This window comes from Homo sapiens, chromosome 3 (genome assembly GCF_000001405.40).
Source record: "Homo sapiens chromosome 3, GRCh38.p14 Primary Assembly".
NCBI lineage: Eukaryota > Metazoa > Chordata > Mammalia > Primates > Hominidae > Homo > Homo sapiens.
Window position 1 is genome coordinate 180,824,334 of NC_000003.12, and position 25,995 is coordinate 180,850,328.

Below are 25,995 nucleotides of genomic sequence, written 5' to 3' on the forward strand. Positions count from 1 at the left end.
TCCTATAAAAAAGCAAACCTGAACAAAACCAAGTTAAGCCTTCAGCTCAAACTACCAATTTACAGGAAATTAGGGGGACAAAAGAAAACTACAAGGCAAATGTTTCTTCAACAAATATATTTGGGATGAGGGGAATAAGAATGAGAATGATTAAAGAAATTTAAGATATTTGTCAACATTTGCCATTTACAGACTTTGTATGGATTCTTATTTAAATTGACAGTGAAAAAAAGAAAAAATTATGTGACAATTTATAATAATTTCATAAATATTTTAAGAGTCTTTATTGTTTTAGAGATACATACACAAATAAATATGCATAAAATGGTATGGTGTTTAGAATTCACTTCCAAATAATCTAGTTTGGGGCATGGTGGAGTGGGTGGCAACATAAATGAAACAAGATTAGCCATGCTAATTGTTGAAGTTAGGCATTCTATTTTTATATATATTATAAATTCTTTATATTAAAAATTTTTTTTTAAAAGTTTAAATGCCTGTCCTGTTTCTGTTTGAACTGTAGGGATAGAGATGCCATTTCTAACTCTGTAATATTTTGAGAAGGACCAATTTGCAGGTGGGGAAGAGATCTAGAAGGAGGAAGATTAATAATTTAACTTTCAGTTCTGAACATAATTCGATGTATCTGAGAGACATCCAAGTGAAGATACTAGTAGTCAGATATATACAGTCTGAGCCTCAGCAGAGAGACCTGGACTAGAGATATAAATTTAGGATTTGTCAGCATGTGGATCGGAATTGGCGCATTACATAGAGAACGAATATGCTACAGAATAAAAACAATTAAAAATACCAGCCGGGCGCAGTGGCTTACACCTGTAATCCCAGCACTCTGGGAGGCCTGGGTGGGTGGATCATTTGAGGTCAGAAGCTCGAGACCAGCCTGGCCAACATGGTGAAACCCCGTCTCCACTAAAAATACAAAAATTAGCTGGGCATGGGGCAGGCACCTGTGATCCCAGCTACTCGAGGGGCTGAGGCAGGAGAATTGCTTGAACCCAGAGGCAGAGACTGCAGTGAGCCGAGATCATGCCACTGCACTCCAGCCTGGGTGACAGAGTGAGACTCCATCTCAAAAAACAAACAAACAAACAAAAAAACAAACAATCCAAATGTAGTGTTCTAAAGTCCTTTTTTTTTTTTTTTTTAAATGGAGTCTCGTTCTGTCACCCAGGGTGGAGTGCAGTGGCGTGATCTCAGCTCACTACAACCTCCACCTCCCAGGTTCAAGTGATTCTCTCCTGCCTCAGCCTCCCAAGTAGCTGAAATTACAGGCGTGCACCACCATGTCCAGCTAATTTTTGTATATTTTTAGTAGAGATGGGTTTCGCCATGTTGACCAGGCTGGTCTTGAACTCTTGACCTCAAGTGATCCACTCATCTAGGCCTCCCAAAGTGCTGGGATTACAGGTGTTAGCTACTGCACCCAGCCTAAATTCTTTAAATGTATTCATTTAATCCTCACAATTATCCCATGAAGTAGTGACTATTATTATTCTCTTTTATATTTTAGGAAGTTGAGACACACAGAGTTTAAGGCTTGCCTGTAGTGAGTTCAAGCCCTGTAACCAGGATTTGGATCCATGAAGTCTAACTGTGTAAAAACAGAACAGCCCAGGATTGTTACCTAAATAGCTCTAATATCTAGAGGTAGAGATAGCTAAATGTAGAAAAGGAGAAGAGAGAAAAGGGCTCTGAAGAAGCAGCAGCCAAAGAGGTAAGAGAGAAACAGTTTAAACAAATGTCAGCATACGCCAAAAGAAGAGCACATTCAAGAAAGAGGGAGTGACCAGTGGTATTGAATGGTGTGAGGTCAAGGAAAATGCATACTAAAATTAATTCTATTACTGGTAGCAAACTCAGCTCATGACTCATAGTTGTTTTTTTTGTTTGTTTTGTTTGTTTCCTTCAGGATACTTTACTAGAATGACTTACGGTATTATTCTAACTTGATAAATAGAAAAGAAATGCTTTTGTAATAGCTTCTACTATAAACATATCTTGACTTAAAATACATGAAATACACAAATCCAGACACTCAAAATATAATTTAGAGAGAATTTTCCTGTGGCTAACAATAGAATTCCTCACTGAAATGATTCATCCTAGCATTCTTTTATATGGGATTTCTCTTAATACATTTAAAATATGATTTAATTTTCAAATCAGTAGGACATAAAATTTTAAAGACACATTTGCTGTACACCTGTATGATTTTTACACGTTGTAGTATTTGCTAAGATTAGGAAGACTTTAAATTTTCAGGAAGAATGAAGCTTAAGAGCGATTAAAGGAAAATGATTAGCTTTTCCTAGCACTCAAAGATTATCTTCTTTAAATTTTCAAATCTTAGTTTCAGTTTTAGTGAATAAATTGTTAGCATTTATGTTCTTGGGTTCTCACAGGGAATCTTTACATTCTCAAGAAATTTATGTGTGATAAGGATAATATAGTAAAGAACTTCATTTTCATCTGCATATATGCAGTTCCTAAAGAATCTTCAAGCACCAAGTGCATCACACATGGTGAAAAATGGATTACAGATATTCCTGTCAAAGGACATATTTGTAATTATCAATGTAATATTAGCTTATGTTTTAACTTTTATTAAAAAATTATATATACCATATAAAGTGTTTTTTGGCTTGAATTTTTACAACCTTTATGACAATATTAGAAAATGGGAGACACTTACTTTCCTATCTACGTGTGTTTGATTTAGATGCAATTATTAGCGCCTGTCTTTAATCCGAGATAAATGAATAGAGGAAAATGGCAGGATGCTCAACATGAACTGCATGATCTGAGGAAACCTATGAAAAACCAATATACTACTTTTCTTCCCTAGTAACTAGAGTAAAATGGAAATAATAGCTATGTTGGAGCTGCCAACTGTAGGACTAGATCAGGGTCATCGCCTGGCACAGTGACTGTTACATACTAGGTTCAGTAGATCACTGTAGAACAGACAAAGGAACAAATAAATGAATAACAAATGACGATTGTGTTTGCACCAGTAATGAGAAGAAGGAGGAAGTGTGTTAAATAACAGCCAATTTGTACTGCATGGCTATCATGTGTTTAGCACAGCAGATAATTATAAAAGCTGAGATTTACTAATGCTTACCATGTGCTCTACTACCTACCAAACCATTACTAATTGAAGCCTCGATAGGTAGCATTATTATCATTATCCCTCATCATTTCATCTTACAAATGAGTACTCTGAAGCAAAAGAGGTCAAGCAACTTTCCCTAAATCACAAAGCTGGTAAATGATAGTTTTGGGCTTTGAGCAGCTTATGTTCAAAGCCTGCTCTTTTAACTACCAGACCACAGTATACATTCCATATAGTTAAAAACTATATGTTGTATTTGCTGAAATCCTTGCAGTTCCACCACAAATCCTACCAACAGCCTTATTTGCCACTTTAGGAAGATATTTGTCTTCCAGAATCACTGACTTTCAGAGCTAGGTAGCAGCCCAGAGATCAGTATAAAGTAGTGGCCAAGTACATGGGCTTTGGCGTCAGGCCAGATGCAAACCTGGCCTTACCCTGTACCAAAAATTTCTTTTTGTTTTTGTTATTTGTTTTAAGCCCACTACGTTTTGTTGTAATTGGTGACTCACCGTTAGATAACTAACACAATTACCCATAAATCGGCTGGCTTTCAGGAAAACATGTCTTGAAGCACAGTTGAACTTGAATCTTTTCTGGGTCCTCCTGCTGGGCCATGCTGGGGAGCCGCTCCCGCTGCCTCAAGGCCTCTAGGCCATCCAGGTTGGGCTGGTGGCAGCGGCTGCGCATGACCATAACCCGCTGGCCCTGGGTGATGGCATGGCTGTGGCAGCCCAGCCGAGCCTGATCCCGGCACATCCAGTACACCTTCTCCCCGGCCGCCTTCTCCTTCCTGTAGAGGAAGGACTCGGGCACCAGGAACCTGCCCCCCAGGAAAGTCTTCAGAACTCCAGGGGCCGGAGGGGTTCTGGGCAGTCCCACTGCGCCAAGATGGAGAAGTGCTCCCGCTGCCGCAGTGCCTCCAGGCCACCCACGTCCGGTGGGCGGCAGTGCCTGCGCATCACCATGGCCCGCCGGCCCTGGGTGATGGCGAGGCTGCGGCAGCCCATGCGGACCTGGTCCCGGGAGGTCCAATACACCTGCTTATAGAGGAAGGACTCGTATACCAGGAAGCTGCCCTCCAGCGGGGTCCGCAGGAACTCAGGGCTTCCGGGGTCGGCATCCATGTCCTGGTCCTCGTCCAGGAATCCTTCCAGGGCTTGGGGATGGGTTGGCAGCTCCTGGTCTTCGACCTTCGCTCGCTTTCTGGGCCGGGGCCTGGTGAGAGTCAGGGGGCCGGGGCCCCTGAGGCAGAGAAAACTGTTCACGCCTTGGAGGAGAGTGTCCACTTGGCTCCCAGGGCCGGCCTGCACAGCCTGCAGCGTCTCCATGGCCTTCTCCTGCTGCCGCCGGGCCTCCAGGCCCTCCACGTCGGGCGGGTAGCAGTGGCCACGCATCACGGTCACCTGCTGTCCCTGGGTGATGGCCCGGCTCCGGCAGCTGTGCAGCGCGTGGTCCCGGCAGGTCCAATACGCCTTCTCCCCCACGGCCTTCTCCCGCTTGTAGAGGAACGACTCGTGCACCAGGAAGCTATCCCCGTAGCACGTCCTCAGGAACTCAAGGGGCCGGGCCTGTCCCAGGCCCAGGATCGAGCACTTCTTGGGCGTCAGGCTCAGCAGCTACAGGATTCGGGGTCCGTCGTCGTCCTCCGGGCCGGCTTGCTCAGCACTAGCCCAGGGGTGGGCTCTGGCTCCGGCTCCTTGGGGCACTGCCACAGGCCCCCCCTCTCCAGCGGCTCCTCCACTCGGCTTCCAGAGCCCTCAGGACCCCGGGGATGTCCCAAGACCTCTGGCAGGGCCAGGCTGGGCAGCTTCTCCCTCTGGCGCCAGGGCTCCAGGCCTTGCTCATCGGGCGCTTGGCAGCAGCCCCGCATCACTGTGGCCCGCAGACCTCGGGTGATGGCCTGGCCCCGGCAGCCCAGCTCAGCATGCTGGCGGCACTTCCAGTACACCTTGTCCCCGACAGCCTTCTCCTGCTTGTACAGGAAGGACTCAAGCATCAGGAGGCGGCCCCCAAATGGTGTCCTCAGGAACTCCAGGGAATGGCGGGGCTGTGTCCAGCTTGCTGCTCTTCTGTTCAGGCATCTGGGGGGCTGGCTGGACCACCCCTCCCTGCTCCTCAGCTGGCAGGATATGCAAGGTGCTGGCGAGGGTGGCGGGGCCGGCCATCTCCAGGGACAAGACACAGTGCACTTCCTGGGGCTTGAAGCCCACCCCAACCTCATCTTGGTTGGAGGCCGTGAGCAGGACCAGTTTGGAGAACTTCCCGGGCTTCCTGAGGCTGCCAGGATGACGTCCGTGCTTGGCTCGGGGGACGGCTCCTGCCCAGCCTTCCCACTCTCGCCCTCCGGCTCACTGGGCTTGGGCAGGGGCATTCCGGGACCCAGGGCCTGTCCCTCAGGTCATGCTCAGCGCCCCCGCAAGGAACCTGGAGTCCAGCGGTTCCGCTCATGTGCCCGAGCTGTTGCTGTTACTGCCTCGGCTGGTCGTGGTGGGGCTGCGGTGGTGTCTGGAGAATCCCTAGGTCACCACAGGTTCCCTGGGTTCCAGCCTTCACAAGTGAGTGAGAGCCGCCACCATCATCCCCCATACCTGGTCACGGCGCTGGCTTGCTGGGCAGGAGACCCAGGGGAAAATTCTGTAACTTCTCTGGGCTGGTTTCACCACCGCAGCGGAGCCCTCCCTCTCGGGCGACAGAGCTGCGACGGGTCCCTCAGCCTCTGCTGCTGCAGCAGCAGGCGTCAACCTCAAGGCCCAGGCCACGGCCACCCCGACCCCGGCTCCTACTCCCCATCCCTGACCTGTCCCTGGGGAGCGAGCCCCATCCAAAAATTTCTTAAAGGTCTGTTTATTATTATTTTACTTTGGAAAATGAGGCAAATATAGTGACAAGAAAGCAACTATGTACTGCTTACCAGGTATTGACTATATTAGTTCAAGTTCCCACCTACTGCTATTAAATTTTGTCTCAGTTAGCAAGACAAGAAAATCTAGTCATTAAGAAGCGGGTCCCTGCTTTTAATGAGTGGGCCTCAGTGTTAATAGTTTCTTACTTTTGGTGTTTTAACTTCATGGGAAATGGAGCAGTAAGAAGCTGGCCCATTTTTCTGAAAACAGAAGGGGAAATTCAAGACTGTAACAATATTGAACCCTAGTCAGCTTCTTCTTTTTTTTTTTTTTTTTTTGACAGAGTCTTGCTCTGTGCCCAGGCTGGACTCCCAGGCTGGAGTCTAGTGGCACAATCTTGGCTCACTGCAACCTCCACCTCCCAGGTTCAAGCAATGCTCCTGCCTCAGCCTCCTGAGTAGCTGGGATTACAGGCACCCACCACCACACCCAGCTAATTTTTGTATTTTTAGTAGAGACAGCGTTATGCCATGTTGGCCAGCCTTACTCCAGAAATTTTCAAAATGCAATTCACATACTCCTGAGATCTCCAAGACCATTTCAAGAAGTCTGCAAGGCCAAAGCTGTTTTTATGATAGTTTTTAAAACTAAGATGTGATTTTTCTTCATTATGCTGATAATTGCCAGTGTTGCTAAGGCAATGGTAGGTAAAACTGTAGGTTCCTTAGAAAGAATCAAGGTGTGATACCAAACTACACTGGCAGTTATCACATTCTTCACCATCACGCACTCACAATAAAAATAAAATGTCAGTTTCACTTAATCATATCCTTTATAAAGCAATAAAAATGATTAACTTTATTAAATCTAGACCTTTGAGTATACATCTTATTAATATTCCGTATTACAAAATGGGAAGTGCATATGAAGCATTTCTACCACACATTGAAATATGATAGTTGTCTCTAGGAAAAGAAACTCATGCAACTGAGTTACAAATGCAACCAGCATACATTTTCATAAAACATCATTTTTACTTGAAAAAAAAGACTGACAAATGATGAATTTTCAGATTATTTGGCAGACTTTAATTTTAATGGACAAAGTAAGCCTGTCGTTTCAAGAAAAACAACAGATGGTATTTATTGCCTATGATCAAAATGTGAGCTTTCAAGAGAAAATTAAAATTTTAGAAATCTTGAATCTACTGCTATGAACTTGATAGTTTTTCAACACTTACAAGCTTTTCTGATGAGATTAGTGGTGATATTAACAAAATAATTGCTGATATTGTATAAGGAAATGGGTCAAGATTCAGAAAATCTGAGTAAGTCAGTGAACTAATATTTTTATCATTGAATGATGTTACAAAATCATGCATGAGTAAAAAACCCATTCTAAGTTCAAAACAAATAAGAGGATTTTAAACACAACCACATACCTAAAATTTATTTATATAGTTTAAGGTTCTACAGTACGATTAACCTTTAAGAAACTAGCTATTGGGTGGGCGTGGTGGCTCTCGCCTATAATCCCAGCACTTTGGGAGGCCAGGGCAGGCAGATCATGCGGTCAGGAGTTCGAGACCAGCCTGGCCAACATGGTGAAACCCTGTCTCTACTAAAAATACAAAAATTAGCCAGGCGTGGTGGCGGGTGCCTGTAATCCCAGCTACTCAGTAGGCTGAGGCAGGAGAATTGCTTGAACCCAGGAGGCAGAGGTTTCACTGAGCCAAGATCGCTCCATTGCATTCCAGGCTGGACGACAGAACGAGACAGGACAGGACAGGACAGGAAAGGAACCGAACCTCTTACAGAGGTTTGATATAGTGTTAAAAATGAGAAAACAGTAACAGACAGAACAAGTGAATAGCCCACTATCAGAAATAAATTGCTGAGGATCTGAGATGAGAAACTTGGCTCTTAAATCCCTACCTCCCAGGAAAAGTTTCTACTAATATCACAACTGTATTATTAGTATTTAGGCTTTTTAAGATTCTGAAGAACATAGCCCCAACTTGATCCCCAATCATCAGAACTTAAAATTTAGAAAGAATTGGTCTACAAAATAGTTTCCAACTTTTTAATGCTAAAACACTTTGAGGATGTCTACATGGAGTGTTTATATTGTAAGCATCCATTGACAAAATACTGTAAGAAATTATATTTAGTCTTTGGCAACATGTGATGTACATTTTGATTCAGGTTATCCTTTCTTTTTTTGTTTGAGATGGAGTCACTCTGTCACCCAGGCTGGAGTACAGTGGCGCGATCTCGGCTCACTGCAACCTCCGCCTCCATTCTCCTGCATCAGCCTCCCCTAGTAGCTGGGATTACAGGCGCCCGCCACAACACCTGGCTCATTTTTATATTTTTAGTAGAGACGGGATTTCACCACGTTGGCCAGGCTGGTCAAGAACTCCTGACCTAAAAGATCTGCCTGTCTTGGCCTCCCAAAGTGCTGGGATTAGAGTGAGCCACCATGCCCGGCCCAAGTTATCCTTTTTAAGCATCCAAATCCCACGAATTGGAATTCAAAGGTCGCAATCTAAATCTTTGAAAATGCTAATAACAGAGGTAACCCTCAGATTCAGACGAACACAGAAGGCAAAATTTGTCCCATCAGCTATGGAGAAATCTGAATTTATTTGTATTTTTATTGTAAATGTATGCGAAGAAGAGCCAATTTTCTCAAGATAAATCTGGTGCGTTTTCAACATTCTAGTAGCTTGGGACTGTGGGAGAAATACAACCGTCTAGTCTCCTTTGTGAAGGTATTACTACTCCAGTTTTAACCAGTGATCCAGATATATCTCATTCCTACCCAAAGATAAAATAGCACCATATTATTCCATTGCCAAACCAAACCTGGAATTGAAGCAGGCAGGAGATGCAAAGTAAAAATGGCCGCATGCAAATATAAGGTATTCTGTGTCTAGCCTCATTCTGCCTAAGACTTAGAATCAGAGAATTTCAGAATCAGCAGAAGTCTTACACATAATTTAGCCAATTATCCCTTTTCAAAGATGAGGAAACTGTGGCCCAGAAAAATTAAGTGGCTTGCTCAAGTTTTTACAGTAAATTAATGCCAGAGATAAGACGACAACACGGGCTTTTGTCTGTACCACAACTTGATCATCTAATTGCTTTTTTTTTTCTTGATTGTCAGTTTTCTATCTCTAAACCTACATTGAGGTTTTCCTAACCACAACAAAAAGGAAACAGCATGCTAAAGAATTGGTTAAATCGAATCAAGGAATTCTATTTACTTTCAAAAAATAAAAGAAACTCTTGTTAAATGCTAAGAAGTTTATAATAGTATAGTCAGTTGACACAGGTTCTCAGGTTTCAATTACGGAAAAACATATTGCCCAAGTCTGCAAATGCTATCCTAATTTATCAGATTACTTACTTAGAAAGCGTGCTTTTGATCTGCTCTTCCAAAGAAGAACAAATGTACAGACTTCAATACTTAATAAAGTTGAAAGCTTCTCCCTGGGGTAACTGAAATTTTTATCAAAGGGGCGATAGACCTGGTTGCAGCTGTAACAAAGAAGTACCATATAAAGCCAAGTGGAAAGCAGTTAGATATCATTGGTGGTAAAGGGCCATTGAACATGGTCATATTAATTGGAATCTATTGCGCAGGACATTCCACTACATGCTGAGCAAATGACCCTGAAAGTTTTGAGTCTCTCTGGTGTATAAAAAAGTTCAGACGTAAAAATAATCATACAGATGGTGGATTCTCTATCCTTGAATGGACATAGCTACCCTGAGATCTGGGTGGCTGGAAATTTCTTTTTTAAATAATGCCCTTTGAGTGAGTCCCCATATATGCATCTTCTTTTACAACCATTTGAAAACTTGTCTTCTAATAATTTCACACAGCGCTTTCAGTGTAGCAACATTCAAAAGAATGAAACTAATGAAACACAGCAACTTCTACATTTTCACTTTTGTGCTTTGGGAAAATTCTGATTAAAAGATATAAGACAGTTCGAATTGGAATTTCATCATTGCCCCCAAAATGAATAACTTCTAATCAAATAGAAAAATTAGAGAAATTGAAAGCCAAGGTAATATGGAACACATTTCAGATACATCAGGATGCAAACCTTAGGCACCTACAATTTAAATTATTTTATCCTCAGATGCTATATTGTTCTGGATTTCAGGTTATATGTAAAGAGTAATCACTATATTTGCCTTTTAGGCAGATGCTGTTCCAGACCTTCATCACAGCCACTTTATCTTATTCGTTACACTAAATATTAAAATAAACCCCCAGAAGATATCATAATATCAATAAATAATAATCTTAAAGTGCTAGAAACATTGTCGGGATATGTCAACTGATAAGAATAATCCATTTTTGACATAGCTACACAATAATACTGGAAGACTTCAATACCCCATTGACGGTATTACATTATCAAGGCAGAAAACTAACAAAAAAATTCTGGACTTAAATTTGGCCCTTGGCCAATTGGTTCTAATAGACATCTACAGAATACTCCACCTAATAACCACAGGATATGTATCTTCTCATCTGCACATGGTACATACTCTAAAATCTATCACATTCTCAGCCATTAGGCAAGTCTCAACAAATTCAAAAAAATTGAAATCATACCAAGCATATTCTCAGACCTCAGTGGAATGGAAATAGAAATCAACACCAAGAGGAACTCTCAAAACCACACAGTGACATGGAAACTAAATAACTTGCTCCTGAATGGCTTTTGGGTAGACAGTAAAATTAATGCAGAAATCAAAACATTATTTGAAACAAATGATAATGGAGACACAGCATGACAAAATCTCTGGGATGCAACAAAGCAGTGTTAAGAGGGAAGTTTATTGTACTAAATACTTACATCAAGAGGTTAGAAAGATCTCAGATTAACACTCTACCACTTAAAGGGACTAGAAAAACAAGAACAAACTAATTCCAAAGTAAGCAGAAGAAAAGAAATAATTAAAATCCGAGTAGAACTAAACAGAATTGAGACCCAAAAAACACAGAAAGAATCAATGAAACAAAAAGTGGGTTCTTTGATAAGATAAACAAGACCAATCGACTGCAAACTAGATTAACAAAGAAAAAAGTGAGAAGATTCAAATAAACACAATCAGAAATGATAAAGGTGGCATTATAACCGATTCAAAAGAAATACAAAAGATCCTCAGAGACTACTATAAACACATCTATGCATACAAATTAGAAAATCTAGAGGAAATGGATAAATTCCTGGAAACACATAACTTCCCAAGATTGACAGGAAGAAATTGAAACCCTGAACAGTCCAATAACAAGTTCCAAAATTGAATCAGTAATTTGAAAAAAAAAAAATCCACAAACCAAAAAAAGCTGTGGACCAGATGGATTCACAGCTGAATTCTAGCAGACGTAAAAAGAGCTAGTACCAATCCTACTGAAACTATTTCAAAAAACTGAGGAGAAGGAACTCTTCCCTAACTCATTTTACAAAACGAGTATCATCCTAATACCAAAATCTGGCAAGGACACAAGGAAAAAAGAAAACCAAAGGCCAATTAAACCTGATGAACATAGATGCAAAAATCCTCAATAAAATACTAGCAAACCAAATCTGGCAGTGCATTGAAGAGTTAATTCATCAAGATCAAGTGGGCTTTATTCTTGGGATGTAAGGTTGGTTCACAATACACAAATCAACAAACGTGATTCACCACATAAACAAAATTAAAACAAACTCATATGATCGTCTCAATAGACGCAGAAATATTTCAATAAAATCCAATCCTTTCATGAGTAAAAAAAAAACAAACCTCAGGAAACTAAATATCATGGGATAATACCTCAAAATAATAAAGGCGTCTGTGACAAATCTATAGCCAACATCATACTGAATGGGCAAAAGCTGGAAGCATTCCCCTTGAAAACTGGAATAAAACAAGGATTCCCACTTTCACCGCTCCTACTCAACATAGTACTGGAAGTCATAGCCAGAGCAATCAAGCAAGAGAAAGAAAGAAAAAAAAGGTATTAAAATAGGAAAAGAGGAAATCAAATTATCTCTCTTCACTGACAATATAATTCTATACCTAGAAAAATCCTAAAGACTCCACCGAAAGACTCCTAGACCTGATTAACAACTTCAGTAAAGTTTCAGGATATTAAAATCAACATTCAAACCCCAGTAGCACTTCTATACGCCAATAACATTCAAGCTGAGGACCAAATCAAGAATGTAATCCCACTTATTGTAGCCACACAAAAAAACCTAGGAATACACCTAACCTTGGAGATGAAAGATCTCTACATGGAGAACTACAAAATACTGATGAAATAAATCATAGATGACACAAATAGAAAAATATTCCATATTCGTGGATTGGAAGAATCAACATTGTTAAAATGCCCATAGTGTTAAAAGCAATCTACAAATTCAACACTATTCCTATCAAATGATCAACATCAGTTTTCACAGAATTCTGAAAAACTATTCTAAAATTCATATGAAACCAAATAAAAGAGGCCAAATAACCAAAGCAATACTAAGCAAAAAGAACAAAACCGGAGGCATCACATTACCTGACTTCATACTACAGTTTGAAGATGATAGTAACCAAAAACAACATAGTACTAGTACAAAAATAGACACATAGACCAATGGAACAGAATAGAAACCCCAGAAATAAAACCACATGCCTGCAACCAACTGATCTTTGACAAAGTTGACAATAACAAGCAATGGGGAAAAGACTCCCTATTCAATAAATGGTACTGAAAAATCTGGTTAACCATATGCAGAAGAATAAAACTGGACTCCTTTCTTTTACCATATACAAAAAGATAAAAAATTTAAATGTAAGACTGAAACCTTAAAAATCTTAGCAGAAAACCTAAAAATATCCTTCTGGGCATCGGCCTTGGCAAATAATTTATGACTAAGTCCTCAAAAGCAATTGCAACAAAAACAAAAATTGGCAAATGGAGCCTAATTAAACTAAAGAACTTCTGCACAGTAAAGGAAATTATCAACAGAGTAAACATACAACCTAGAGAATGGGAGAAAATATTGGCAAACTCTGCATCCAATAAAGGACTAATATCCAGACTCTATAAAAAACTTAAATCAACAAGCAAAAAACAAACAACCACATTAAAAAGTGGACAAAGAACATGGACGGGCACTTCTCGAAGACATGCAAGCAGCCAACAAACATATGAAAAAATGCCCAACATCACTAATAATCAAAGAAAGACAAATCAAAACCACAATGAGATACCATCTCACACCAATTAGAATGGCTATTATTAAAAAGTCAAAAAATAACGGATGTTGGCAAGGCTGTGGAGAAAAGGGAATGTTTACACACTACTGGTAGGAAAGTAAACTATAAGGTTGCTGCAAAACTAATTGTGGTTTTTGTTATTAAAAATGGCAAAATAGTTGAGCCACTGTGAAAAGCAGTTTGGAGATTTCTCAAAGAACTAAAAATAGAACTACCATTCCACCCAGCAATCCCATTACTGGGTATATACCCCCTCAAAAATAAATTGTTCTACCAAAAAGACACATGCACTTGTATGTTCATTGCAGCACTATTCACAATAACAAAGGCATGTAATCAGTCTAGGTGCCCATCAATAGTGGGTGAGATAAAGAAAATGTACATATACACCATGGAATATTATGCAGCCATAGAAAAGGACATCATGTGCTTTGCAGGAACATGGATGCAGCTGGAGGCCATTATCCTAAGCAAATTAACACGGGAACAAAAACCAAATACCCTATGTTCTCACTTACAAGTGGGAGCTAATCATTGAGTGCATGTGGACACAGAAGGGAACAATAGACACTGGGGACTCTGAAAGAAAGGAAGGAGGGAGGAAGACAAGGGATATAAAACTTCCTATTGGGTACTATGTTAACTATGTAGGTGACAGGATGAATAGAAGCCCAAAACCTCAGCATCACACAATATACCCTTGTAACAAACCTACACATGTAACCCCAGAATCTAAAATAAAAATGGAAATTAAAAAAAGAATAATCAGTTTCTAAGATTTCCAAATTTGCTTAGTTTTATAAATTGCCTAAAACTTATGTATAAATCAATGAAAGCATAAGCCCTGGTTACATGAGATCCAAATAATCAACGTCCTTTAAAAGTATTGCACTATGGCTGGGCGTGGTAGCTCATGCCTGTAATCCTAGCACTTTGGGAGGCCAAAGGGGTGGATCACCTAAGGTCAGGAGTTCGAGGCCAGCCTGGCCAACATGGTAAAACCTCACCTCTACTAAAAATACAAAAATTAGCCAGGCATGTTGGTGGGTACCTGTAATCCCAGCTACTCAAGAGGCTGAGGCAGGAGAATCACTTGAACTCGGGAGGCAGAGGTCACAGTGAGTGGAGACAGGCGTGGTGGCTCGTGTCCATAAAGGTCAAGGCAGGAGAATCACATGAGCCCAGGAGTTCAAGATCAGCCTAAGCAACATAACGAGACCCTGTTGCTACAAAAAATTTTAAAACTAGCTAGGTGTGTTGGCGCATGCCTGTAGTCCCAGCTACTTGAGAGGCTGAGGCGGGAGGATAACTTGAGCCTAAGAGATTGAGGCTGCAGTGAGCTGTGATTGCCTGTGTGACAGAGTGAGATTGTCTTTAAAAAATTTTTTTAATGTGTGTGCATGCGTATGTGTGTGTGTGTGTGTGTGTATTTATCATACTTCAAGCCAACTTTCATTTACTCTAAACTGGAAGCTCCAAATTCTTAAATATATCAATCTAGTGTCTCAAGACATCTATCACATACTAAAAAGTTGCTGAGTTTATATTACATCCAAGTTCTACTTTCCACCAGGGATCCACACAAACTGTTCAATGGATTTTTTAAATTAACAAGTAAAAGTTATGTCTATTTATGGTGTACAACACAATGTTTTTATATATGTATACAACTGTGGAATGGATAAATTCAAGCTATTAAACACATGCATTGTTTCACATTTTCTTGTGGTGAGAACACAAAATCTTTTAGCAATTTTCAATATGCAATATATTATTACTAACTCTAGTCACTGTAATGTACAATAGATGTCTTTAAGTTATTCCTCCTAACTGAAATTTTGTGTCCTTTCACTAACATCTTCCCAATCCCCCAACCTCCAGCCTCTTGTAACCATCATTGTACTCTCTTTCTATAAGTTCAACCTTTTACACTCTACATATAAGTGAGACCACGTAATATTTGTCTTTCTGCACCTGGCTTATTTCACTTAGCATAATGTCCTCTTGGTTTACCCATGTTGCTGTAAATGACAGGATTTCTCTCTTTTTTAAAGCTGAATAGTATTTAATTGTGTATATATAACACTTTTTCTGTATTTGTTCATCTGTCAATGAACACTAAGGTTGGTTCCATATCTTGCTATTGTGCATAATGTTGCAGCAAACATGAGAGTGCAGATATCTGATTGACAGTGATTTCAATTCCTTTGGATACATACCCAGTAGTGGTATGGTTGGATCATACAGTAATCTATTTTTACTTTTGTGAGGAACCTCCACATTGTTTTCCAAAATAGTCCTACAAATTTACATTCCCACCAACAGTATACAACGGTTCCCTTTTCTCCATATTCTTGCCAGTATTTATCTTTTGTCTTTTTGAATAGCCATTCTGACAGTTGTGGAGTAATATCTCATTGTGCTTTTGATTTGTGTTTCCCTGATTATTAGAGATGTTGGGATCTTTTTCACAGACCTGTTGGCCATTTGTGTATCTTCTTTTGAGAAATTTCTATTTAGGTCCCCTTTGCCCATGTTTTAATTGGGTTGTTTTCTTACTATTGAGTTGTTTCAGTTCCTTACATGTTTTGGCTATTAAACCCTTCTGAGATTATTGTTTACAAATATATTCTTCCATTCTCTAGGTTGTTTCTTCACTCTGATTGTTTCCTTTACTTTGCAGAAGCTTTTTAGTTTGATGTAATCCTACTTGTCTATTTTTGGTTTTGTTGCCTGTGCTTTGGCATCATATTTAAAAAATCGTTGCCCAGACCAATGTCATGGAGCATTTCCCCTATGTTTTTTGTTGTTGTTTGTAGGTTTACCATTTCTGGTCTCACATTGAAGTCTTTATAATCCATTTTGAGTAGATTTTTGTATATGGTTTGAGATGAGTCTAGTTTCATTCTTCTGCATGTGGATATCCAGTTTTGCCAATACTATTTATTGAAGAGACTGTTCTTTCCCCATTGTGTATTCTTGGCACCCTTGTCAAAAATCAATTGACCATAAATACAGGGATTTATTTCTGGACTCTCTTTCTTACATTTGTTACAAATGTAAGTGAAAGTGAAGCAAATGTTTCACTTCCTTGCTTACATTTATTCCTCAGTATTATATTTTTTGTAGCTATTGTAAATTGGATTGTTACCTTAATTTCTTTTTTAGTTTTGTGTTGATTTTGTAGCATGCAACTTTATTAAATTCAGTTATTAGTTCTAACATTTTTCGTGGAGTCTTTAGGGTTCTCTCTATATAAGAACATGTTGTCTGAAAACTGAGAGAGTTTAACATCTTCCTTTCCAATTTTGAAGCCTTTTATTTCTTTCTCTTGCCTAATTGCTCTGGCTAGGACTTCTAGTACTATGTTGAATAAAAGTAGAAAGTGGGACATCCTTGTCTTTTCTTTATCTTTATAATCAAAGACAGAGGATTCTGAGAGCAGCAAGATAAGCAAATCACATATAACAGAACTTCATTAAGGCTGGCACCATATTTCTCAGAAGAAACCTTGCAGACCAGGATAAAGAGGGATGACATATTCAAAGCACTGAAGGATATCTTCAAAAAGTATAAACCAAGAACACTATACCCAGCAAAACTGTCCTTCAGAAATAAAGGAGTAACAAAGGCTTAGTGATGGGTATGTCATATATGGTCTTTATGTTGAGATGCATTTCTTCTATACCTAGTTTTTTGAGAGTTTTTATCACAAAAGAATGTTAAATTTTTTCAAATGCCTTTTCTGCATCAATTGAGATCATCATGTGGTTTTTATCCTTCATTCTGTTAATGAGGTGTATCACACATATAGATTGGCATATGTTGAACTATCCTTGCATCCCATGGGATAAATCACACTCGATCATGGTGAATGATCATTTTAATGCACTGCTGAATTCAGTTTACTAGTATTTGGTTCCTTGGTTTTTGCATCTATATTCTTCAGGGATACTGGCCTATAATTTTATTTTCTTAGGTGTCCTTGTCTGGCGTTGGTACTAGTGTAATCCTTGCAAAATGAGTTTGGACGTATTCCCTCCTCTTCAATTTTCTAGAAAAGTTTGAGAAAGATTTATATTAGTTCTTTAAATGTTTGCTAGAATTCAGCTGTGAAACCATCGGGTCCTGGGCTTTTCTTTGAAGCAGGACTTTTTATTACTGATTCAGTCTCTTATAAGTTATCAGTCTGTTCACATTTTCTATATCTTCAGATTTAATCTTGGTAGGTGGTGTCTAGGAATGTATCTATTTCTTCTAGGTTATCCAATGTGTTGATATAAAATTATATAGTAGTTTCTTATGATCCTTTGTATTTCCATGTTATCAGTTGTCATGTCCTCTAATTTCTGATTTGAGTCTTCTCTCCTTTTTCCTAGCCTAGTTAAAGGTTTTTCAAATTTGTCTTTTTACAAAACTGTTAGTTTCATTGACCTTTTCTATTATTTTTCTAGTCTCCATTACATTTATTGCTGCTCTAATCTTTATTATTTCCTTACTGTTACTAACTTTGGGCTTACTTCATCTTCTTTTTCTAGTTCCTTGAGGTATAACATTATGTTGTTTATCTGTAATCTTCTTTTTCAATGTAGGCATTTATTACTACAAACTTCTGTCTTAGAACTACTTTTGCTACATCCTATAAGTTTGTATATGTTGTGTTTTAACTTTTGTTTGTCTTAAGATATCTTTCAATTTTTCTTTTAACTTCATCTTTGTCCCATTAGTTGTTTAGGAACATGCTGTTTAATTTCCACATGTGAATTTTCCAAAATTCTTTCTCTTACAGATTTCTAGTTTTATACCATTGTGCCTAGAAAACATACTTGATATGATTTCAATCTTCTTAATTTTATTAAGACTTATTTTATGTCTTAACATGTGATTTATCCTGGACAATGTTCCACGTGTGCTTAAGAATGTGTATTCTGTTGCTATTGGGTGAAATGGTCTTCATATGTCTGCTACGGTCATTTGGTCTAAAGTGTAGTTCAAGTCTAATGTTTCCCTATTAATTTTCAGTCTGGATGATCTGTTCATTGTTGAAAGTGGAGTATTTAAGTCCTCTATCATTACTGTGTCAGTCTCTTATTCTCTTCAGATCTATTAATATTTGCTTTATATATTTAGGTGCCCTGAAGTTGGGTGCATGTATATTTACAATTGTATCTTCTTGATGAGTTGACTCCTTTATCATTATATGACCCTTCTTCTATCATTTTATAGTTTTGACTTATACTCTACTTTATCTGATATAACTATCACTATCTCTGCTTTCCTTTGTTTTCCATTTGCATGGAATATTTTCATCCATTCACTTTCAATGTGTCTGTGTTCTTAAAGGTGACCTGAACCTTTTATAGGCAGGATACAGTTGGGTCTTGTTTTTTATCCATTCAGCCACTGTGTCTTTTGATTGGATAATAAAATCCATTTACGTTCAAGATAATTATTGATAAGTAAGGACTTACTACTGCTATTTTGTTAACAATTTTGTGGTTGTTCTGTAGATCATTTCTTTCATTCTCTCTTGCTGCCTTCCTTTGGGATTAGATAATTTTCTTTATTGGTATGCTTTGATTCCTTTAAGAGGGAGTTTCACTTATGTTACCCAGGCTGGGGTGAAATGGCACAATTTTGGCTCACTGCAACCTCCGCCTCCCAGATTCAAGTGATTCTCCTGCCTCAGCCTCCCATGTAGCTGGAATTACAGGTATGCACCACCATGCCCAGCTAATTTTTGTATTTTTTTAGTAGAGATGGGATTTCACCATGTTGGCCAGACTAGTCTCAAATTCCTGACCTCAGGTGATCCACCCACCTTGGCCTCCCAAAGTGCTGCTGGGATTACAGGCATGAGCCACCATGCCTGGCCACCTGGCTGATTCCTTACTTTTGTTTTTTTTTGTTTTTTTTTTTTTTTTCTTTTTGAGATGGAGTCTCACTCTGTTGCCCAGGCTAGAGTGCAGTGATGCGATCTCGGCTCACTGCAACCTCCACCTCCTGGGTTCAAGTGATTCTCCTGCCTCAGCCTCCGAGTAGCTGGGACTACAGGTGCGTGCCACCGTGTCTGGCTAATTTCTGTACTTTTAAGTAGAGACAGGGTTTCGCCATATTGGACTGGCTGGTCTCGAACTCCTGACCTTGTGATCTACGCTCCTAGGCCTTCCAAAGTGCTGGGATTACAAGTGTGAGCCACCGTGCCCAGCCTGATTCCTTACTTTTTATCTTTTGTATATGTACTATCAATTTTTTTGTGGTTACCATGAGGCTTACATAAAACATTTTAACGTTATAATGGGATATTCAAAACTGATAACAATTTAACCTTGGTCACATAAAATAACCCTACACTTTTACTCCATCTCTCACACATTTTGTTTTTGATGTCCCAATTTACAATTTTTTCTATTGTATATCCTGCAACCTATTGTAGCTATTATTTTTAATAGTTTTATCTTTTAACCTTCATACTGAATATATCATTGATTTACACACCACCATTTCAGTAGTAAACATTCTGTGTACTTAGTTTTTGCAATAAGTTTTATATCTTCATATGTGTTTGTGTTACTAATTAGCATTTTTTCTTTCAGTTTAAAGAGGTTCCTTTAGCATTTGTTTTAAGGTAGGTCTGACAGTGATAAACTTCCTCAGCTTTTGTTTGGGAAAGTCTTTGTCATTCCTTCATTTTTGAAGGACAGTTTTGCTAGGTACAGTGTTCTTGGTTTGCAGTTTTTGAATATATCCTTCAGTGCTTTGACTATATCATTTCACTTTATCCAGATCTATAAGGTTTCTTCCGAGAAATATGCTGCTAGCGTTGGTGAAATTCTGTTACATGTGACTTGCTTATCTTCTATCTTTGACTTTTGACAGTTTGATTATAATGTATCTTGGTGTCATCTTGTTTGGATTGAATATGATTGGAAATCTGTGATCTTCTGGTACATGGATATTATCTTTCCCCAGATTTGGAAAGTTTTCAGATATTATATTTTTAGATAAGCTTTCTACCCCCTTTGTCTTTCTCTTTGACTTCTTTAATATCTTTAACTAAGTATTTGCTCTTTTGATGCTGTCCTATACATCCTGTAAGCTTTATTTCTTTTCATTCTTTTTGTCCTCTGACAATTTTTTTAAATAACATGTTTCTGAGTTCACAGATTTCTTCAGCTTGTTCAATTTTCCTGTTGATGCTCTCTATTGCATTTTAAACTTCATTTATTGTGTATTTCAGCTCCAGAATTTCTGGATTTTTTTAAGTAATTCTAATCTCTCTGTTAAATTTCTTCTTTTGTCATTTTTTATTTTTCTGATATCATTCCATTGTTCTATATTTTCTTGAAGTTAACTGAGCTCCCTTAAGACATTTATTTTAAATTATTGGCCAGGCACAGTGGCTCACACCTGTAATCCCAGCACTTTGGGAGGCTGAGGCGGGTGGATCACCTGAGGTCAGGAGTTTCAGACCAGCCTGGCCAACATGATGAAACACCATCTCTACTAAAAATACAAAAAACAATTAACCAGGCATGGTGGCGGGCGCGTGTAATCCCAGCTACTTGGGTGGCTGAGGCAGGAGAATCACTTGAACCCAGGAGGCGGAGGTTGCAATGAGCCAAAATCATGACATTGTACTCCAGCCTGGGCAACAAGAATGAAACTCCATCTGGGAAAAAAAAAAACAACAAAAAAAAAACAACTTTGTCAGGCAGTTTATATATCTCTGTTTCTTTGGGGCTAGCTACTGTGAAATTATTGTGTTCTTTTGGTGGTTTTATGTCTCCTTGGTTTGTCATGTTTCTTGTTGTCTTACACTGATGTCCATGTATTTGGTGGAGCAGTCACCTATTGCAGACATTACAGACTAGTTTCACTTTGGAAATATTTTTGAAGGGTATGAGGAAACTTGCTCACTGGGGTGTACCAATGAATATGCCAGTTGTGTAGTCTCTGTGCAACTCTATCAGCTAGGGAGAGTGTTGATGAAGACTGCAGGTGTCCTCAGTGGTCAAGACTGTGGATTTCCACAGTGGTAGTGAGGGTTATTGAAGTCTTCAGTGGCAATGGCTACTAAGATCCTCCCACTCTTTTTTACCACTGGGGAAACTGTGTTTGAAGACCCTTTTGGCACTGGGTCTGGCTCATGGGCTTGCTTGGAGTGACAGTGGCACCAGCGCCAGATGAGTGGTGCCCATGGAATGGCCACAGAGCTGAACCCAGAAGCATGAGCATGCATGGAGGGACTACAGCTCTAGTATCTGGAGTGGTAATGGCACTGCTGCCTGAAGCACAGACACCTCTTCTGTTATATTGGTAATAGAATGTGAGGCATGAAGATTTGTGAAGCAGTCAGAGAAGTTGGGAATGGGAAGATAGGTGTGCACAGAGTTAAAGCAGCTTTGGGGTTAGGGTTGAGTTTACCTTTCTGTAGCTGCTCAGCTAGTACCTGAAACATGGGCATGCCCAGTGAGGGTTTGGCTTCAGGGCCAAGAATGTGAACTAGCTTACTCTGGTGATGGCTTCAGTGTCTGAGATATGGATTGGCCCAATGAAACCATACAGCCTGGGTCCAGAGCGTGGGCACTCATAGAGCAGCCACTGCTCCACAGTTGTGGGACACACAGGATTGGAAAAAGTAGTGGTTTTTTTTCAAAGTCCCTCAACAGTAGCAACTTCTTGGGTAAAGGAGAGGTGTGCAGCCACATTGCCCTCTTTGGGGATCCCCAGTGGGAATAGCTGTTGGTTACCGAAGTAGCAAAAGATCCTGATGTTTTCTGTGGAACAGGCCCCCAGGGACCATAGTGGCTCCCACTGCGTGGCTGATAGCCTCCACCTTTGTTCTTTGATCCTAGCCATCTTCTGGCATGTCAGTATGCCAGAATCACCACTGATCCTTCATGTGTGGATATTCTCTGGGGGTTTTTTGGTCCCACCATTTTGCTGCAGATTATTTAATGGCCTCTCAAGCCCTCCCTGGGCTCTTTTGGTTTGGGAGTAACTGTCCATATTTGTTTTTGTTAGGAGGAGTTGGTGGATTAAAGCTGGTATCTTCTACTCCCCTATCTTGGTGATATCACTCTTAATTGGATTTTTTTTGTCTTTTTTTGACTGCATTTTTGATTAACATGTTTATCCAAAACATAGTACTCATGAGAAGTCCAAACACAGAATTCGACACATTCACAAACATCTTCCCTGAACTAATTAATGCAAATAAAATAACCATGCTTTTTTCTTTCAAACCATAACTAGTATCTCCTCTACATTTAATTTTCTATTAGTAAGTAAAAGTTCAATGATTTCTACCTTTCACAAAATAATTACTTCAGAATTATTTGGAGTCTCCAAAAGGTGGACATTATTATTGCTGAGGGCAGCAGGAAAAATATATATAACCAGATCTTGTTAGATGTGGAGGAATTTCTATGGATAACCTCCCTCTTTCCCAAGGGTCAAATATCAATGAATATAGTATTTAGCCAGAAGCAACCTGACCTCCCGAGTTACATTTCACTGAGTAGAATGGAGCTAATGAAAGAGAAATAACAAATGAGGAAACATGATATTCTGCTGTGGGTCTTGCTTCCCTCTAAGTAGGGAAGGCATTCCCTCTTGAATGGAGGAAAAGCCAGAACAAAGATTTAATGGAAATTACAAGATAGGCATGGTAGACCCTGCCAAATTATCTCCTTGTAATGAACAACTCTTGTTGTCACTAGTTTTCTTAATGATTATAGCAATAGGCCAGGCGTGGTGGCTCACGCCTGTAATCCCAGCACTTTGGGAGGCCGAGGTAGGCAGATCACTTCAGGTTAGGAGTTCGAGACCAGCCTGACCAACATGGTAAACCCTCGTCTCTTCTAAAAATACAAAAATTAGCCAGGCGTTGGGGCACATACCTGTAATTCCAGCTTCTTGGGAGGCTGAGGCACATGAATCACTCGAACCCAGGAGGCAGAGCTTGCAGTGAGCTGAGGTTGCACCACTGTGCTCCAGCCTGGGTGATGGAGTGATACTCTGTGAAAAAAAAAAAAAATTATTATTGCAATAATCCAGTACAGGTATCCTCAAAAAAGGGTTAGCAAGACATTAAATAAATAATTTTCCTACCTTGTCCCTATGTTGTCCACAATCCTCTCTCCCATACCTCTTTACTAAAATTAATATAGTTATAATATTCTGTGAGGGGTGTGAACAAGTACTATTCTGTAAGTGGTTTCATCACGAAACACAATAGGCAGAAAATAGCAATATTCTTTTCCAAGATTATCTAATTTTATAAATTTTTTATAAATTTATTTCTCTTCATATTACACAAACAAGTTTTCATTGGGTAATCACAGTAGAGATTTTCATTCCAAGTCAGAGTACAAAGGTTTTCTAACAATTATATTTTGTATTTTTTCTTAGTGACTGATAAATCATGATTATTTTACCTGGCTGTAAAACCTAATGGGGAAACTTGAGGAACACTTAACTAAAAATCTATCATTGGCAATATAACATAGTTGGTTTAGAATCAGACAAATCTAATTTAAATTTAGACTATAGTCTAAATTTGGAAAGCAGAACATGAGCTGGATTTTAGCCTCCCCTAGCCACCTTAGTTAGGTGCTTCTGTTCAGTGGACAAACTGCACAACTACTTTCAGAAGCATTGGAAGCTACTAACAACAATGGCACCTAAGATTTCCATCATTTAAATAATGTCTTGTGAATAAACTTTTTCCCTCTCTCTAGGAAGCCCCTGATCTTTTGATATTCAATTAAAGTAAGATAATGAGATAGACACTTTCACATACAACTGACAGGAGTAAAAACTGGTAGGAAATCACGGGAGAAAAAGAAAGTGATGATATTCACTAAGAGCCTTACACAAGCTTATGCTGTTTGGTCTAGTAGTTCCATTTTAAGACTCTATTCTAAAAATAATCAGAGGTACAAAAAATACTTTTGTATAGTGTTATATATAATAGTGAGTATTAGAAATTATTTGAATATGATTATAGTGAAATGAAATACTCGGTACCCATTTAAATCACTTCTCAAAAAGTTTCAATCATAGAGCAGAAGTTTATTAAAATATTGAGTAAAAAAAGCAGAATGCAGAATTGCATATTTATATGATTCCATTAAAAAATAGATACAGATGGTCTCTGACTTACCATGGTTCAACTTTACAATTTTTGACTTTACAATGGTGTGAAAGCAATATGCATGCAGTAGAAACCATACTTCAAGTACCGATACAACATACTGTTTTTCACTTTCAATGCAGTATTCAATAAATTACATGAAATATTCAATAGCTTATTATAAAATACGCTTTTGGTTAATTTTCTCCAACTGTAGGCTAGTGGAAGTGTTCTGAGCACATTTAAGGTAGGCCAGGATAAGCTGTGATGTTCAATAGGTTAGGTGTATTAGTGCATTTTTGTCTTACAATATCTTCAACTTACAATGGGTTTACTGGGACATATCCCCATCAAAAGTCCAGGAGCATCTGTATATAGAAACGATCCTGAGGTAAACTAACAACAGCATATTTACAGCATTTATCTCTGAGGGGTGTAATTACAGGTGATTTTTAAATTATTCTTGACACAGTGTCCTTAGACCGAGCATTTTTACTATTATAAGCAGAAGAATTACTTTTTAAAATTTTCTTTAAAAATCAATGCATAGGATAGAAAACATTCATTCATTAGCCCTGGCTTATTAACAAGTCAATACATGACACAAAGAAATAATGAGCAGGAATAAGGTGATGGGAGGAAGATGCCAGAAATTCTTGGAGTTGAAGTTATTTTGAGTAGTCTGATTTACAAAGGTAGGAAGCTGAGGCTTTATACTTGGTTGGGCAAATAGGCAGTTAAATGGTATGAAGGATGTCTATTTCTGGCCAATGTGAAGTACCAGGGACCAGATATACTGCCCCACCTGAAATAACCAAAAATCAGATAAAATATATCAAATAATGGTGTTTTAAAATATGATTTCTTTTTATTTCCTTCCAGCTTTATTAAGGTATAATTGACAAATTATATATATCTACAATGTACAACATAACATTTTGATATCTGTATACATTGTGAATTAAATCAAGTTAATTAACATATTCATCACCTCACATACTTAGCATTTTTGTGGTGATAACACATAAAACCTACTCTTTTAGCAATTTTCAATCATATCCTACATTACTATTAATTACAGTTACCATGCTGCACAATAAATTCCCAGAATTTATTCATCCTGTCTAACTGAAACTTTGTACCCTTTGATCAACATCTCATTTCTGCTGCCTCCATCCCTGACTCCCAGACCAGGCAATCACCATCCTACTTTCTGCTTCCATGAGTTCAATTTTTTTTTTTTTTTTTTTTTTTTTTGAGACAGAGTCTCACTCTGTCACCCAGGCTGGAGTGCAGTGGCACGATCTCGGCTCACTGCAACCTCTGCCTCCTGATTCATGCCATTCTCCTGCCTCAGCCTCCTAAGTAGCAGGGACTACAGGCGCCTGCCACCAAGTCCAGCTAGTTTTTTGTATTGTTAGTAGAGACGGGGTTTCACCATGTTAGCCAGGATGGTCTCAATCTCCTGACATTGTGATCCACCTGCCTTGGCCTCCCAAAGTGCTGGGATTACAGGCGTGAGCCACCGCGCCCAGCCAAGTTCAATTTTTTTATTCTCCACATATAAGACAGATTATATTTGCCTTT

General features: G+C 39.1%; 1 long non-coding RNA gene and 1 pseudogene across 1 annotated transcript in view; both read right to left on the reverse strand.

Annotated features, from left to right (window-relative positions):
- The window catches only part of LOC101928882 (uncharacterized), a 162,590-nt gene that overhangs the window by 116,745 nt on the left and 19,850 nt on the right, over window positions 1-25,995 (reverse strand). Inside the window, exon 2 of the long non-coding RNA NR_109986.1 lies at window positions 23,174-23,291. This is a non-coding gene — a long non-coding RNA (uncharacterized LOC101928882). The remainder of the gene's footprint in view (window positions 1-23,173; window positions 23,292-25,995) is intronic.
- FLYWCH1P1 (FLYWCH-type zinc finger 1 pseudogene 1) lies at window positions 3,609-5,585 on the reverse strand (annotated as a pseudogene).